Source organism: Homo sapiens, chromosome 5 (assembly GCF_000001405.40).
Source record: "Homo sapiens chromosome 5, GRCh38.p14 Primary Assembly".
NCBI classification, from domain to species: domain Eukaryota; kingdom Metazoa; phylum Chordata; class Mammalia; order Primates; family Hominidae; genus Homo; species Homo sapiens.
In genome coordinates, this window is record NC_000005.10 from 98,394,409 (window position 1) to 98,413,808 (window position 19,400).

The 19,400-nt window shown below is 39.3% G+C and overlaps 3 pseudogenes; all 3 read right to left on the minus strand.

Annotated features, from left to right (window-relative positions):
- Positions 8,135 to 8,313, minus strand: MRPS35P2 (mitochondrial ribosomal protein S35 pseudogene 2; annotated as a pseudogene).
- On the minus strand, positions 15,267 to 15,692 carry MTCO2P24 (MT-CO2 pseudogene 24; annotated as a pseudogene).
- Positions 15,827 to 17,384, minus strand: MTCO1P24 (MT-CO1 pseudogene 24; annotated as a pseudogene).

Consider the following 19,400-nt stretch of genomic DNA (forward strand, 5'->3'; position numbering starts at 1 on the left):
AGGAGAAATACTTTTATGCATTTTCTTAAAATTTTTGTCTATAAATTCAGAGGATAATAAATTATTTAAACTATTTAAATTAATAATTGCCCCCATGTTGCTGACATTGTGTAAAGAAAGATTAATTGTAATATTTGTTGAATTAAATTTATTAATAATATCTGTCCAACTTACTAAAAAATAATAAAAAATAATATTTTTTAATGAATGAATAAAAATCTTCTAAGTCAAAGATTTACAAGAAATGTTTAATATTACTTGGTCTTCTAAAGTAAGGTTATATTTGAAAATATGTAAAGTCCAGTTTCTCTAATGTATTTGTTTTTTAGTTCATTCATATTTACCATCTGCAATTATTAAATTATTCAAACAATTTATTCATTCCAATGTCTTCTTGCTTCTATTTCATTCAATTCCTAATCACCAGATGAGACAGTATTCTGGAAAACCAATATTTATTTCATTATTCTTCTACCTCATATATCCAGTGCCTTCTAGTTTATATCCAAGGCCCTAAAATTAGAAATAAAGGTTTCCCTAACCTGGATCTAGCCAATCTATCTCACCTAATTCCTTGCTTCACTGTATGTTCAATACTGTGGACAAATGGAAGCCAATGATAATCCCGAAAGACACACCCACGAACACCATAAATCCAAATGTTGAACTCACAAAAGATCAAAATCCTGACACCATAACTCTGCAAATAGTAATTTTAAAAATATTTAAAAGATATTTACATTTTTAAAAGGAGATTTATTTGAGAAACATACAAAAACACAGCAGAACACTTCATAAGCCACTTTACCCAATAACAGGCAATAATAACACAAATTTCAAGTATGAATATTCAGGTATACTGATAGTCACACTGATACAACAGTTATGAGCAGATGAACTATATTCATAAAAAAATAGGTCAAAAGCGAAATGTATGAATACCTATCACTGTGGTTGGTAATAGCGTGTTTTAGGACTGCTGTCCTAAATACTGTGAGGGATGAACTAAGTCTTTTGACATGATTGATCGAAAACTGGAATGGGTCACCACTGTACCAATCACCCAAAGAGCCAAGATCTCAAAAAATTTTATCTTTCACAAACGCAGATGTACAAAAATTGTCTTCATTTACTGAGGAAATTCCAATATTTTTACATACGTGCTCCAATGCTTACACTCGAAGTCAATGTTGTGATAATGCACTTTCATGGAATCATATTTACAAAAAATGCATAAAACAAATTAGACATTTCTAGAAGTCTCTACATGATTTATACTTCCAGTATTGGAAATGATGCAAAGATAAAATACATATCACAGAGAATTGAAAAAGAAAAAAAATGCTGAGAATGTAAAATACTGGGAAAAAAACTGAAAAAAAGAAAAAACCAGATCTACAATGAACTCAAACAAATTTACAAGAAAAAAACAAACAACCCCATCAAAGAGTGGGCGAAGGACATGAACAGACACTTCTCAAAAGAAGACATTTATGCAGCCAAAAAACACATGAAAAAGTGCTCACCATCACCGGCCATCAGAGAAATGCAAATCAAAACCACAATGAGATACCATCTCACACCAGTTAGAATGGCAATCATTCAAAAGTCAGGAAACAACAGGTGCTGGAGAGGATGTGGAGAAACAGGAACACTTTTACACTGTTGGTGGGACTGTAAACTAGTTCAACCATTGTGGAAGTCAGTGTGGCGATTCCTCAGGGATCTAGAACTAGAAATACCATTTGACCCAGCCATCCCACTACTGGGTATATACACAAAGGACTATAAATCATGCTGCTATAAAGACACATGCACACATATGTTTATTGCAGCACTATTCACAATAGCAAAGACTTGGAACCACCCCAAATGTCCATCAATGATAGACTGGATTAAGAAAATGTGGCACATATACACCATGGAATACTATGCAGCCATAAAAAATGATGAGTTCATGTCCTTTGTAGGGACATGGGTGAAATTGGAAACCATCATTCTCAGTAAACTATCGCAAGAACAAAAAACCAAACACCGCATATTCTCACTCATAGGTGGGAATTGAACAATGAGATCACACGGACACAGGAAGGGGAACATCACACTCTGGGGACTGTTGTGGGGTGGGGGGAGGGGGGAGGGACAGCATTGGGAGATATACCTAATGCTAGATGACGAGTTAGTGGGCGCAGCACACCAGCATGGCACATGTATACGTATGTAACTAACCTGCACAATGTGCACATGTACCCTAAAACTTAAAGTATAATAATAAATAAATAAATAAAAATAATCAAAGTGAAAACAAAAATAAAAAAAAAAAAGAAAAAAAAAAGAAAAAACCTCCAGAAAACTAAAAAGAAAATTTAGCATTTGAAAAATTTGTATTACAAGGATAGATTATGGGCAATTGCACTGAGATGATAGTTCATAGGAGCTGGCTGATTTTCACAACATTAACAATATTTTGAACCCTAGCATCACAATGAGCAGCTGATTTGTTTTCTTTCAGGACATGGCTTTTCTCAGACAGAATGTTCACCTTCACTTCCTGCATGGTGCTGGCTCTTTTTGAAATGCTTCTATGATTTGATATACACAGACATGAAGATTTTCTATTACATTTTCCCATCTTCTGTGCCATGCTTCTGTGTTGTTTTGCATACACAGAAATCTATTCCACATGCACTTATATAAGACCACAAATTTGGCAGACACAATACTGGTGATCAAACAGCAACACCATTGCTTAAGTGTCTTTTTATCCTACCATTCATATAATTATTTATGCATCAGTCAGCAACCTCACGAGCTTCTTCAGGCAGCTTCAATTCATTAGAAGCTCCTGGAATATCATCAGCTGAAGGAAATGCCAACGCAGGCAATGACGCATTTTTAAACTGAAGTTCTCATTGTTGCTGTAACATGTGGCCAATCCTCTCATCTGAATTTTCTGCCAAATGCATTGGCTGAATGGAAAAAAAACAAACTTTATTGGTAACACCTTGAAATTCACTTTTAAAGCCTTGATTGCACCTAGTTCTAAATGTGTCATTATAGCTTGGGGATTCAAGTGAAATTCATTTTCTTCTGCAAAAAGACAGTAACAAGGTAATTGTTCTGCCTAACAATGCAACTATCCTGTGATTGTGATTTTCAGGATTTTAGATGTTAGCAATTTTAGACTTTAGGAATATTGATCTTTAGGAAATTTGATCTTTTGGGATCTTATGGCACTCAGAATTCTGTCTTTCAGGATTATGACCCAAACCTGAACAAATCTGTCCCTTTGAATATAGATGTATCTGTGTTTCTGCCTTAAGCAATATTCATCCCTCTTTCAAGAAAGTCTTCTCATTGTTTCAGCACCCAGCCAAATCCCACCCTTTACTTAAGGAGCAATTCAAGTCTTACCCAAACTCTCCTCAGGTCTTTCTATCCTGTGAGTAAAAATGGAGTTCATATTTTTGCATAGCATATTATTCTATAACTTAGTGACTTTTAAAAAAACTATTAATCACACTTATTAGTATTTCTCTTTGTTTCTTGTATTAGGAATTTGGAAGAGGGTTGTCTGAGCAGTTCTGGCTCAATATCTCATGAGGCTGCAGTCAGATATGGGTCAGGACACAGTCATCTGAAGACCTGACTATGTGTGAAAGATATGCTTACTCACATGGATGGCAAATGTGGGCTTTTGGTGGGAGGTCTCAGTTACCCTCCCTGTGGGCCTTTCCATACAGCTGCTTGGTTTTCCTTAAGGCATGAAGTTTAGTTTCTCCCACAATAAAAAAAAACCAGGTGGAAGCTGCAATGCCTTTTATGTCCTAACCTCAGATATTATACACCATCGCTTCCACAGTATTCTACTGGTCACATGGGTCAGCACTAATTAATGTATATGGGCTCTACCCAAGGACGTGAATATCAGAAGCCAAGGACTGCTGGGAGGCCTTTGGGAGGCCAGATACCACAGTTTTAATTGTAATAAATGGACTCTTTAGGGCCTGCTTCTACCCACTATTTGAAATACCTGGAGTCCCTCAAAGTTTCCCTTTATTATTTCTAAAAGTATCTCATATGGATTGAAGCACAGAGCTCTCTCAGATACCACGCAATCACTGCCATTTTTTTCTCTCTTTTGGCTTCAGGCTTATAAAATCCCATGAAGGCCCCTTTCTTCAATATCTGGCACAAATCCTGATCATTGTGACTGAACACGCACTATGCACATGCCCCACTGGGCCAAATCCTCTCTGCTGTGCCAAACATGATGCGGTGCCCAAAGCTGTGAACCTTGGGCGGCCTCCCGTATGCTTGATGCCATCAGGTGGCAGGCACTCTCTGTTGTCTGTTCTCTGCACATGTAGGGGAGAATGAATCCCAGGGAGTCAGCCCACATGGCACAGTACATTATATGGTTATGGAGCTCCCAGTGATTTCAGACCTTTTGATAAGAGAGCCCTTTCATGTGTTACCTCAGTTTTCCTAGCACTTGACCTAAGTCGTTTCAGGCTGAAGGATGAGCTGAGTGATAGGCATTATTCTATATTAAAAACAGCTCTTCACTTCCAGTATCTATCATGTTATTGGGCATAGCTATGTGCCAAATTTCTTTCTCCCCTGTAATAGTTATTTCCCAAGAGGTTTGCTTTCTCATAAAAATCTGTCTCTACGTGTCCTAAAGTGCATTCAATTTAGGTTCAACTGGGACTCCAACTACACTCCTCCTGCTAATATCCTTAAAAGGTCTCTAGTCCCAGAAATGGAAAATCTTTTTTATTGGGATAAACAGAAACTTTTCCTAGGCTTGACTCTGAGGGATGCTGTTACCTACACAATAAATAGCCAAGAGCCACCTGTGTAGAGACTTTCCAGAAGCTCTAATCACAGAAGTAGTGTAATCAACGTTGATTTAACAACTCTTGTGAAAAGTTAATTTAGAATAGCTTTATCCTTTCCCTCACAGTATCACTTAAGGAGGCAAAGAGACTAGTGATATAGTTCATAGGTTTTGAAGAAAAACAGGCTGAAATTAAAAGCCCAGTTTGTCCACATAGCAGCAAAATACACTTGGTAAGTTACTAAGCCTAATTTTCCTCATCTGATATCATATGGTTATCATAAGAATTACCTAAGACTGTTCAAGTCTGTGTTTAAAAGTAAATGATAGGAACATTCACTATTATCATTATCATCCTAATAATTACTGATACTATCCCATAACAAGGCTTCTCTACATTCTGTAAAACTCCCTTTTGTAGCTTAGGGGCTAATAGTGGACTAAGGTCCAGCCTGTAGCTGATTTTCCAGGCCATACCATCAACAGTACCCTCTTTGTCCCCAGAGTCAAATTTTAATTTTGGATCTTCGGGGCACAAGCAAGTGGGAGATTGAATCTCAACTTACCTCCAGTCTTTATTATGGGAACTGGAATAGACAAAACTCTATTGTTAATATCAAATTTGAAATCAATTTGAAGCAATTTGAAAGGCAAGATCATGGAGTTTCTGACTACATTCCCTGCTCTGCACTTCCTTCTTGGTGGTTGTCTTCCTCCCCCTGCCTTTCCTCAGAATTCATCAATCAAAATCTCCCTGGAACTAGGCTTCTCAAAGTACAGTCCCTACAGTACTTGTCACTTCAAGAAGGAAAGCATAATAGTTGAAATTATGATTCCCAGGCCCCACCTCTTTCTCTCTCTCTCTCTATATATATATATACACACACACATAAAACACACGTGTGTGTGTATATATATAACACGCACATAAATATATATATTTTATATATATATATATACATTGTGTGTGTGTGTGTGTGTGTGTGTGTGTGTGTGTTTCTTTCTCAACACACTTCTAAGGTGACTGATGTGCAGGGAGCTTGGATCCAAACTTTGAGTAGCACCACCCTACTGCACAAAAAGTTTGGGAGCTATGGAATCAAACCATCATTAATTAAACCTCATGTTTAAAAGACCAGAAAAGCTAGGCTTGACATGGCTTACCAAGTAAAACTGGACTTTTAAGTTACTAAAATTTTGCTTTTGCTGTGGTCGTGTGCCACAAGAAAAAATGGTATTAATGAAACAGTAATGAAATGGTTGGTTGTTCCAACTCACAGTTCTATATGTTTATTACACACAATATTAGGGAAGAACTTAATGATCGGCCACTAGTTTGGGTCACCTCAAAGATACTTCTAGGATAGTGCCTTGAAATGCTGGATAACTTGGTAGCTGTTCCAATGATTAGTGCTTCCCCATCTTGGGTTTTGCCCATCTTTTTTGCTATAAATGACTTTCTATTTCTCCTCCTCTATCAATTTGTATTAAGTATGGGAATCATACTTTCTTTCCTGTTATCCTAGCCACCATTAAAATATTTTACTATAGCAACCATTTGCTTAGAGTGAACCTCATCTCACCTACTATTTCTATTACTTTCAATAAAAAAGCTTTTTTTCCACAATTACAAGCACAAATGTCCTACAGTCTGATATACCTTTAAAAATGGAATCCATATGGTCGTGGGGCTTTTTCCTTGGTTTAAAACACCTATGTACCCATCACCAAGCATTCCCCCACAATTGTAAGACATTCTTTGCCTTGATAGAGCAGATGTTATTCCCTATGGATCCTGTAGGCTTCAATCAACACACTTTTCTCTCTATTTTCCATCCCTACCTCCTTTTACATAATGCCTTGGTGGAAAGTTCCAGCTAGGGTCAAAACGTTCTTTGCCTAATGCTGGCAGGGACCCTCTGGTCTCCAGGGAAGACCGTCACTTTTCCCTTGGAAACTAAACAGTCTTTTCTACTAGCTGCAACAATATTTCTAACCCAGTTTTCTATTGCTATGCACAGGCTTGGGGATATATAAATAATCTCTGGCAGTACACATTTTCTCTATGCTCATGCTATTATCTGTTTAATACAAGGCAGTTAGTTCTAATCTTTGGGTAGCAATTAGTCCATGCTATAAATAGATGCCATACTAGAGTTACTAATTACCCAGAGAAACCCAAGGAATATAATTTCTGTTTCACAGAGCACACCAGCCTGAGGATTAAGAAAAATCATAATGGCAGTATATTATTTCTCTAATTTGGCTCTGTTTCATGACTGTGGAATTTGCAGGCTTCCTTTTCCTTGGTGCCCATACACAGAAACTTCTGAGCTCTCACATTGCCTCTGCCAGTCCCTCCTTCCCTACTTTGGCTCTGACACACTGTGGTGGCCCAGATGGCTTCTGTCTGTGAAACCCCTTCCAGGCCCCTCTCCATAGGCAGGGAAGGTAGTGCCATTTCACACTTATGCCCTCTGCAGTCCAAGGTACTCCAAGGGAAGCCCCTCTTCCTCATGATAAAGTTACACCCTGGGAGCACAAAGCACAGCTGCTTTGTGGTCAGTATATCATCTCCCAGAAATTTTGGAATACTTGTCTTTTCTAGAAAACTTTATTTCATTTTTCCCAAAGCAGCTTTCTCCACATTCCTGTTTGTCCAGGCCAAGCAGTCCATTTAAGTAAAGCATCAAGCTGTGTTCACTCTTTTCTAACACTAGGACTTGACTAATGTAACAAATCTTTTTAGGAAGAGTTTATTCCCAGGATGCTTTTAAGTGCCCCATGCAAATGTATTCTCAGCATGTCCACTTTGTCAGTGTCATAGGAATACACAGGTCCAACTTTTAGGGTGAACAGAGTTTTGCCTTATGCTCAGCTCTCCCCTTCCTCCACCTCTGCCTTTGCAGAGTAGTCAAAATCCAACATTTGGTTGAAGGTACAGTCTTGAGTAAGTTACTAATTTTTTATGAGACTTTAAGATGCTCAAGGCTGGTGTATTAGTTATCTATTGCTGCCTCACAAATTACCTCAAAATGTCATGACTGCAAACAACAAGCATTTGTTATCTCACAGGCTCTGTGAGTCAGGCACCTGTGAGCAGCTTAGCTAGCTGGGTCTGTCTCAGAGCCTCTCATGAGGCTGCAATCAAGGTGTTGGCCAGGGATGCAGTTATCTCCAAAGTCAATTCAGAGACTTTTTTAAAAAACATTTACAGTGTTATGCCAAATTAGATATTGATTACATATATCATAAAATTAATAAATTAAGCAAATTTTTCTACTTCATAATTCATGTCAAATTTAATAGTCTCTTCACTGATTCTTTGTACTGAGAAAGGGTATTTTCATTTTCCCCTTCATTCTTAAGACTAACAAAGGACATTCTGTAATCTTCGTTTCTTTGGTACCAAGAAGCTCTTATTTATTCCTTATATTTCTCAGCAGCTTTAATTTGGATAAATGTTTTCAGGAATTTTTTTTTTCTAATTGCTTCCAACCTCATGCTCAGGTCATTGCTGACTCTAGACTGAAAACACCAGATTCTCCTCAAATGAGTCTCCCCATAAGAGTTGCTCACAACATGGTAACTGGCTTCCCTCAGAGTAAGGGCTCAAAAAAACAGAGGCAGATAGAGAAAGAAAGAGAGACAGATACAGACAGATGGAGAGAGAGAGAGAGAGACAGAAACAGAGAGACACACAGAGAGAAAGAAAGAGAAGGAAGGAGATGCTCAGAATTCCTATGCCTGGTTACACGGATTTTGTGTATGTGATTTTTTTCCATTGTAATTTGACAATATTTCAGGATAGAGTCATTTTATAGTGTTTATTAGGAAATTCTAATGAGCATTGGGCTCAAGGAGAACTCTTTAGAAATGGCATGTGACAACTATGTGAATATTAATTCATTGAATTCATTGCCATTACACTGAACACAAAATAATAAATATATCCAAAGTAATTGGCTGTTTAAAATCACATTTGCAAAACAGCCTGTGGTTAAACTGCTTGTTAACTTGGCAGTGGCAAAATAGGACAATTTTATACTGAAGTGGTTTTTATAAAAGGTCTCTGCCAGAACTAAGGATTTTCCTGGAAATGATTTGTAAAAGGCTTTGCATAAAGACATACTGCAAATAAGGCCACGAACTTCATATTTCTACACTCATTCTTTATTGTTGTAAGCTGAATAATACCCACACCTCCCCAACCCCAGAGATGTCACATTGTAATCCTTGGGATCTGTGGCCTTATATGGAATACCTACAATGAATAGGTGGCCTTACATGGTAAAAGAGGCTGTAGACATGATCAAATTAAGGGTCTTCAGATGGGGAAATTATTCTGGATTATCTGAATAGGCCCAGTGTAATCACGAGGGTCTTTATAAGAGAGAGAGGTGTGGCCAGGCGCGGTGGCTTATGCCTGTAATCCCAGCACTTTGGGAGGCCAAGTCGGGCAGATCATGAGGTCAGGAGTTCGAGACCACCCTGACCAACATGATGAAACCCCATCTGTACTAAAAATACAAAAATTAGCTGGGCATGGTGGCATGCACCTGTAATCCCAGCTATTTGGGAGGCTGAGGCAGGAGAATAACTTGAACCCGGGAGGCGGAGGTTGCAGTGAACTGAGATCGTGCCACTGCACTCCAGCCTGGGCGACAGAGTAAGACTCCATCTCAAAAAAAAAAAAAAAAACAAGAAGAGAGAGAGAGGTGTCTCAGACTGAGAAAGATGACCAGGTGGTGACACAAGCAGAGGGACAGAGAGAAAGAGATTTGGAGATGATTTACTGCTGACTTTGAAGATGGAGGAAAGGAGCCACAGCCAGGAAATACTATGGCCTCCAGAAGCTAGAGAAGGCAAGCAGATGGATTCTCCCCTAGAGCCTCTAGAAGGAACCAGCCTTGCTGACACCCTGACTTTAGTCTAATGGGACTGATTTTGAACTTCTGGCCTCCAAAATGGTAAGAGACTAAATTCATGTTGTTTTAAGCCCCCAGGTAATTTGTAGTAACTCATTACAGCAGTAATAGGAAACTAATACAGTTATAAAAGAAATAGTGATGAGTCTGTCAGCATTTTTAGAAGTATTCCATGATCGGTTAAATGTCTTGAAGCTTTTTTACCAAACAAGTAGCCAACCCAGTTCTCCAAATACAGAGAGAGGCATCATTTCCACATGATGAAAGAGCTAGACTAAGAGGACGTCCCTCCCCAAGAAGACCTCTCCCTCTTCCAGGTGGAGCTGGGGCTGGGAGCAGAGCCTGAGCATCACCTGGGATACAGATCCTCTACCAAGGGACACAGAAGGGGAGAAACCCTGGCAGCAACTGTTCCCTGGGATCCCCAGTGGGCAGAGCCCAGGGACTGCAAGCATTATCATCTCCATAGCAACCCATGGATTTTTTTTTTTTTTTTGGAATATTATACGGTGGCTCTATTCCTGCAGAAAATTGGGATTATTCACCCATTTCTACAAAGAGGTATAAATTAAGAAATATGAAACATATCCATGTCTCCCATGGCCCAAGTTATGCACTCCAATCCTTCCCTGAACTTTTCATTACATGCTGAATTGACCATGTAATGAAATTTCAAACAAGGTTCTTAGAGCTCATGTTAGAGAGAGTTACTTTTAAGACAAAAGTAATTATTTTACAAAATATATATACCTCTCCCACAAATATTCCATATAATTTCAGAATCAAAACTAATTAATGAGACAAAGCTTTAACATATTTCTAGCCACTGTGGCTTTGTTTTATGTAGAAGACATTTTACTATAGCATTTACAGAACCACTTGTGCATGGGAGATGAATAGTTGGCAGACCTCCTTCTTAAAGAAAAAGAAGTCTTCAAGGGGACTTTGTAAAAATCTCAGAAATGAAAGTGTATGATAGCGCATTGGGGGAATGCCACTAACTGCTGGGGAGTGATGCTGGTAGGCAGAGGGCATTTTCAGTTCATAATTGGGTTTCAATGGCGTGGCTTGGGAGGCTTAACTGAGGAAAAGACTCAGGGATCAATAGGCAAAAAAAAAAAAAAAAAAAAAGTCTAAACGCTAAAAGTAGTGATGTGTACACTGCCTCCAGCTGCCTACCCCTTCTTCTAGCTGACCCCAGAGAGAGGCTCACTGGCAGGGAGGGCTGCTGTGCCTATTCTGTGGCAGGGCAGGAACTCCAAGTGAACACTCCCAGCATGAACACTACTATGTAAACTAAAAAAGATTTCTGTAATTTAATGCTAACAAGAATCTGGCAGAGCCTTGTCCTAAATCCCATGGCACTCTATTCCTTAGTCTTCAAGGGTAAGGAGAAGCCCCTGGTGACTCCACAACCTCCCATGATCAACCATATTAAGCTCAAGTCTCTGCCAACAGCACCTACCTACAGAAGGACCTGTCCCTATATAAGTGCCCTCATGAGGCTGGACTCAGGGGGCCATAATGCCTGTCCACCAAGAGTTTTCCACATTTTCCCTGGTCCTCAATGTCTCCATACTGGACATCCATGATATCATCCTCACCTGAAGGATCCACAAGCTAAACTTCTTTGAGCATTGCTGTCAACACTGCCTGCAACTCTGGAGGAATGCCATCACCAGTTCTTCTCTTCTTTGACCAACCCACTGCAGGGCAGATGCGCTGCCTCCCAGAGGGTATGTTCACATACTCCCCCTGAATCTGGAGAGTAATCACATGATAGACCTAATAGTGATACAGACTTTTTTGGGTTTTGGGTTTTTTTTTTTTTTAACCAGATTCAAGGACCTCTGAAGACACATAGCTGTACCCTCTGCAGGCACAACTGGAAAGGGGTCTCAGGCCCTCTGTCGCTTCAGCTCTTCAAAACCTAGAGAGCTTCATCTATGCAAAATAGCCACAGCCCAATGAGATAACCAAGGGAGAGTCCCCATGTTCCCCATGAGTCCCAGCACCTGAGCCTACTGAGCCCGGGGATACATAAAACACCTATATTGAATAAAACAGTTCAGACTTGCAAAACCATCAAAATAAAGAAGACACTCATGGATTTTTCCCACATAGTTTGAGTAGATTTTCATATACTTTTCATGCAACCTCTAGGTAACTTTAATTGAATGAAATACTATCTTACCTCCTGGTCCATGGCCACATCTAAAACTTAAATGACATTTTAACAGAGTGGATTGATTTCACCTCCCTCAAATCTCTTGTTCAGGCCACTCACTCACTCAAGCTGTACTGAGACATGTATATTCAGGACTATGAAAATCGAATTTCTGCCTTGCAGTGTTAGCGTAGAGATTTACATGCTTGTGGACAAGTTACTAACAGTTCTGAATGCTAAAAACACCAAACAACCAAGGATGTCCAGTGGTTCTTGGATTTGCATTAAGTGACCACCTTAAGTGCTCAATTTATCATGTAGCTCACAGGTTCTTCTGAAAGGGAAGAGATTTATTATATATTTACTCAAAGACAAAATATTTGAGTAATTGGAAACCCTGTCTGCCTCACCCTGATTTTATTCTACTCTGATCCAATCCAGGACACACAAGATGAAACTGTTTGCCCCAACATCAGAGTGGAGGCCATCCTATCTCCTCACTGGTGGAGGTAAACATTGGGCCTGCATCTTCAAGATATTGGCCTCAGACCTGGACAACTGCCTTATGAGAAAGAAAGAGATTCTGGTCATTAGAGCTGCATTGAGACATGAAAGTCAGATGGTCTTTCATGGTGGCACAATCTTATCACTGCAGCCTTGAGTACTGAGGCAAGGGCAGACACACTGAGTCCCCTGCTGGGTAAGATGGGAATAATTTTTAAATACTTCTACTCTCAAATTATTTATGCATCAGAATGCATAAACCATCATGGAAAAGCAAAGTTTCACAAGAGACAAAACAGAGTGGAAGAGGTTGCCCTACAGTCCCCATTTTCTCAATATAATATCCATGGAATATTGTGGCTGCTTGCCATCCTGGCCAAGGACAGAGGTGAAAGCACAAGGGCTAATAAAACTTCTTGCTGTCACTGGTTGTTCCCAGGTGGTATGGTTTAGCTGTGTCCCCACCCAAATCTCATCTTGAATTGTAGCTCCCATGATTCCAACATGTTGTGGGAGGGACTTGATGGGAGGTAATTGAATCATGGGGTGGGGGTCTTTCCCATGCTGTTCCTGTGATAGTGAATAAGTCTCATGGGATCTAATGGTTTTATAAAGGGGAGTTTCCATGCACAAGCTCTCTCTTGCCTGCTGCCATGTAAGACACATGCCTTTCACCTTCCACCATGACTGTGAGACCTCCCCAGTCATGTGGAACTGTAGTCCATTAAACCTCTTTTTTTTTCTTTATAAATTACCCAGTCTCAGGTATGTGTTTATTAGCAGCGTGAGAACAGACTAATACAACAGGATTTGTGTGGAGGATTTGCCTCTCCTCCATGACTTGCTGCCATCTGGGTGGTGGTTGGCCATTCACCAACATGCTGCCCCTTATCCCACACCTTGCCTCCTTCTGATCTAGCCACCACTACACTGTTCACCAAGGAAGTCTCCTTCTTCTGTGTGCCATCCAGACACCTGGGCTATTGCTATGACTCCCAGTTTAAAAACTACTATAAAGAGCATTGTTTGAATTATTTAGCTTTTGTATTCTTCTGGTCTGCTAATGTTTAGATACAAATCTACAGCCAGATGCAGAAAGTTAACCCAAACACGTGGCAGAAAGAGCATCCACTCAAACTAACCCCATGGTCAGAAAAAAAAAAGTAAACTATGTGGCTAGAAAAGCAATTATTGCAGGACTGGCTACATCATTTATGGGTCCAGTGTAAACTAACAATGCAGGGGCCCTGGTTCAAAAACTATAAGAATGTCAAGGTGGTGACAGCAGAGCATTAAACCGAACATGGGGTCCTTCTAAGCACGGGGCCCTGTGCAACTACACAGGCTGCACACACAGGAAGCAGCCCTGATTATGCGAAATCATTTCCCACTTCCCAAATTAGGAGTTTTCACCAAGAATCCACCAGAACATGAGAGGCCTTTCTTCTCAAAAATCCACAAGAAGCCTTGGCACACTCCAACTGGAGAAGAGAGCCCATACATAATGGAACCAGCGTCTGTTATTCTGCTGAGCCTGACCCAATGTGGCTACACCTAGGCTGTTACATTTTTTAAAAGATCCTGATCTGGGAGGAAGTTCTAGACACCTCCCTTCTATTCTCACCTTGCTTGTGCTTGTTCTAGTCTTTGTAGTTTCTGCCTTCCTGGCTCCATAACTCAGCTTTGATATCTGATTCTGGTGCCTCAAGCTTGGTAATCATCCAGATGACCCCTTCTGACTTCTCAGACTCTAGTTTCAGCTCTGGCTGGTTTCAGCTTTCCTGGCTCCTCAGGTTTTGATATCCCACATCTCACATGAGACACCCTCTCTTTCTGTTTCCTCCCTAGTTCATTGTAATCTCACTGACCAGACTAGCCTTCTTTCCCCTATTACACAGGGAAGGCAAAAACTATAATCAGAAGGTGGCATATGCAACCATGACCTAGTAGTTACTTTCTTTAAAAATAGTCACTTAAAAACCTTTACATGAATCAGGGAGTACATTGGTATTCTCTGAGCTCTCTTCTCCTTTCTATGGCCTTTTCCCTAAGTGTCACATACTTTCTATAAATTAATGACCCACATCTCTGACTTCACCCCAAATTTCAAACCCCTACATGAGTTCTTAATGACTATTTTTTAAGAAAGTAACTATTAGGTCATGGTTACATATGCTACCTTCTGATTGTAGTTTCTTTCTTTACTTGCCTGTTAACCTCCTTCTTGAAATGCTGTCTTTTAACTTTACCATCGTACTTTCCTCTTCTTCCTCATACCCCGTTGAAGCGCCTTCTCTTTTTTCTTTTCTAACTAGTCTTCCTCCTTCTACTTTGCTTCCTCCATCTCTAGTACCACAACTACCATGTTCTTACTTTACTTTGCTGTAAATGTTGACATGGCACAACGTCCATTCCTGAGCTCTCTTCTCTTTTGTATGACCTTTTCCCTAAGTGTCACCACATACTTTCTACAAATTAATGACCTCCATCTCTGGTTTCATCTCATATTTCAGGCTCGCATATTTTACTGCTTTTCTGTATTCACGTATTTTGCTTATCAAACTGGCACATATTGAGGTACTCCCTGATTCTAAAAAGACTGTTATTCCCTCAGTCTTTCCCATCTTGGTAAGAGTAAACGTCAAATGTATTAAGCTAAAAACCAAGCAGGCATCAGTTATTTTGCTCTCTTCTTCACTCATTTATTCCTATTAGTAAGGGCTACTGTAGAGTACTACTGAATATATCTTCTGTCAATAGCTTCTCTCCAAAGCCTCTGCTATCTCCCTTATCTGAACCATTATAAAAGAATAAACCTTATTCTTATAAGGTTATTAACTCCGAGGAGTCGAAGTTCTCCTGGCTTTAAGTCTGCTGTTGGAATCATGTAAGAATAGAAGCCTAAATCTTCAGAGTCTGTATGTTTATAGCTTCAATATCATTGGTGGCCAATTGCTTTGATCGTAAGAGAAGTGTTGTTAACCTCGTCTCTTATGTACAGAATACGTAGGGATGGGAGGGCAATTAAAATTAAGATAATGGTGGGTAAAATAGTTCACACAGTCTCAATTTCTTGGGCATGTATGGCGCTAATATGAGTTAAGTTTGTTCTGAGTATTAGGGAAATAGTGTATAGGACTAGGGAACTAATTAGGAAAATAATTATAAGAGCGTGATCATGGAAAGTGAGTAGTTCTTCTATAATAGGGGATATAGCATCTTGAAGGCCTAATTGAACTGGATGAGCCATTAAGACATATAGGGTTTAACCTATAAATTAACTTTGACAAAGTTATGTAATAATCTTACTAATATCTTATCAAGAGAGTCATAGAGGTTATGGGATTGGCTTGAAACCAGTTTCTGGGGGTTCGAGTCTTTCCTTTCTCATTTAGGTTTTCACATAGGCTGGCTCTTCGAATGTATGGTAAAGTGGTGGACAGCCGTAAAGCCACTCTAAATTAGTAGATGGTTGTTCAATTGTCAGTACTTTTCATTTTGAAGCAAAGCCTTCTCAGATCGTAAAGATTATTAGCATAACTGCTGTTAGTGAGATAAATGGGCCTATGGATGAGATAATATTTCAAGTGGTGTAGGCATCGGGATAATCAGAGTAACATCGAGGCATACTGGATAGGCAAAGGAAGTGCTGCAAAAAAAAAAGGTTAAATTAACACCGACGAATATAATGGTGAAGTGGATTTTCGCGTAGGTCTGATTAAGTGTATAACCTGAAAATAGGGGGAATCAGTGGACACAGCCTCCTATAATGGCGCATACCACTCCTATTGATAGAACATAGTGGAAATGGGCTACAACATAGTATATGTCGTGTAAGACAATATCTAGTGATGAATTAGCTAATACGATGCCGCTTAAACCTCCTACTGTGAAAGGAAAATGAATCCTAGGGCTCAGAATATTGCGGAAGATCATTTGATGCTACCGCCGTGCAGGGTAGCTAATCAGCTAAAGACCTTGACGCCAGTAGGGATAGCAATAATTATGGTAGCAGAGGTGAAGTATGCTTGTGTGTCTACGTCTATTCCTACTGTAAATATATGGTGAGCCCATACGATAAATCCTAAGAAGCCAATTGATATCATGGCTCATATTAAGCCCATGTATCCAAATTGTTCCTTTTTTCCAGAATAATATGTTACAATGTGGGAGATTATCCCGGAGCCTGGTAGGATAAGTACATAGACTTCAGGGTGACCAAAAAATCAGAATAAATGTTGGTACAAAATAGGGTCACCCTCTCCAGCAGGGTCAAAAAAAGTAGTGTTGAGGTTACTGTCAGTTAGTAGTGTAGTAATAGTGTAGAAATGCCGGCAGCTAGGACTGGGAGGGAAAGGAGTAGAAGGACTACCGTAATGAGGATTGATCAAACGAAAAGGGGTGTTTGATACTGGGATATAGCTGGGGGTTTTATGTTAATAATTGTCGTAATAAAGTTAATGGCCCTTAAAATAGAAGAGACACCTGCCAAGTGGAGCGAGATGATGATCAGGTCCACAGAGGCTCCTGCATGTGATGGGTTTCCTGCTAAAGAGGGATAAACTGTCCAGCGGGTTCCAGCACCAGCTTCTACTATTGAAGACGCAAGTAGGAGTAGAAAAGATGGGAAGAGAAGTCAGAAGCTCATATTATTTATCCGGGGGAATGCCATATCGGGTGCACCAATTATCAGAGGGACTAGCCAGTTGCCAAAACCTTCAATTATGATTGGTATCACCATAAAGATTATAACGAATGAGTGGACAGTAACAATGACATTATAGATCTGATCATCTCCTAGCAGAGTTCCTGGTTGGCCTAGTTCTGCTCGGATTAGAAGGCTTATAGCAGTGCCAACTATCCCCATCCATGCGCCGAATAGCAGGTATGGTGTTCCAATATCTTTGTGGTTAGTTGAAAACAATAAACGATTGATGAAGGTAGGTGGTGGGGGGGGGGTTATCATATAAAAGAATAAGGTTTATAGGTTTATAAAGAATAGGCTTATAAACCTATTCTTTATAAACCTATTCTTTATTATAAAGAATCACTTGAATGATATCACTTGAATTATATCACAAGTGGTATCACTTGATTTCTGTGTAAAATAATTCTTAAAATGTCCAGGCATGACCCTTTCTCCAGTGTGAAGGCACTCAAGTGATCATGGGCCCTTTTGAAGTTGAACTGGGAGAGTCAAAAATAGGTTTATAAACCTATTCTTATAAAAAAGTAAATCAATTCTTTCCAGAATTGCAGCAATAGCCTTCTAAATGGTCTCCCATCTTAAGTTTTTCCACTAAATCCACTCTTCAAATAGGACCAGAGTTAGCTATTTAAAAAACATAAATCAGAAAATGTAATTTCTCACTTAGAACTCTCCAGTGTCTTCTCATTGAATTTAAAATAAAATTCAAATGCTTTACAATTCTCACACTTTCCTCTCCCACTTCAAGTCCCACCACTCTCTCTTTAAGTCAATTTGTTTGACAACACTGCACTTCACTCTTTTCTCAATCACACCACAGAGACTTTGAATTTGCTTTGTCCCATTATTGGAATATTTTTCCCAGATCTTCACATAGTTGAAACCTTCTCAATTATTACTGAACGTGGAGAAGTATTTGTGGCAATGCTATCAAATGTGGCCTGTCCTACCATCTGATTTCTCTATCTCATCCCCCCACCACTGCCGCCTTTTATTTGTTATTATTTTTTCTTGCTTATTTGCGTGTACATTTTTTGCTTTCTCTATTTCTTTTTCTTTTTTCTGTTCTTTCTCTTTTCCTTCTTTTTATGTGCACTTATTTATTGTTTCTTTGTTTATCAAGGCAGAAATCTTTCTTTGATTGTCTGTTTTGTCCACCAATGTGTCCCTAGAAGAGTTGGCACACAGTATGTATTCAATATATACCTGCTGAATAAATAAGTTCAAAAAATTATGAAGGATACTGTGATTCAACAATATGTGGGACAACAGATCACAACCCATAGGCCAAATGTGGCCACCACCTGTTTTGGTAGTTAAAATTTCATTGGAATACAACTATGTGTATTTGTTGAGAAATTGTTTATAGTGCCTTTTGAACTATGACAGCAGAGCTGTGTAGGTGCAAATAAGACCATATAGCTCACAAAGCTGAAAGGTTTACTATCTGGCCTTTTAAAGGAAAAGTTTTCTAACCTCTGCAATAACACATACCAGGCCAAGTTAACATTCAATTTAAAAGAAACACAAATATTGTCAGGAACTGTTTCTGAAAAGGTATATAATTTTCTGTTGCAGATGACTTTGCCCTGAATCTTACAGGATTTGTGTCCCTTCCTCTGGAGTTCATGTATCTTACCAAGGTCTCCAGGGCGGGCACTAACCATTCCTGCTTATCTAGTGCAGTCTGCATGATGTCATCAATATAATGGATCTATGTGACATTCTGTGAGATGTCAGAGAATCCATATCTCTTTGGAATATATTGTGTCAGAGAGGACAAGCATTGACATAACTCTGGAGCAAATCTGTAAGTGAATATTCGTGTTCATTCTATACAAACTTGAACTTTTTCTAATCCTTCTTTCTAGTTGAAATAAAAAGGAAGGCATTCCCCAAGTCAATGGCTGAATTCCATATACTTAAGTACTTATTAATCTGTTCTAGCAATAATACCACAGTCAGCATGGAAGCTGTAAATGGAATGTGATTTTACTAAGTTTGTGACAGTCTACAACAAGCTGAACAAAGTAAGTCACCAATTTGACTATCAGGCCCCTACATAAAATGGATAAATGCTGGAAAATTAAATGGTGACATAATAAGGACCACCATCCCCTTAACTTTTAGATCTGTAACTGAAGCAGTAATCCCAACCATTTCCTGCAAGGTGTTATAGTATTTTTCAATTGAATATCTTGGTCAGGGGGCTGTGAAGAGCATTTTCAGAGTTTTCCACTTGGCACTGGT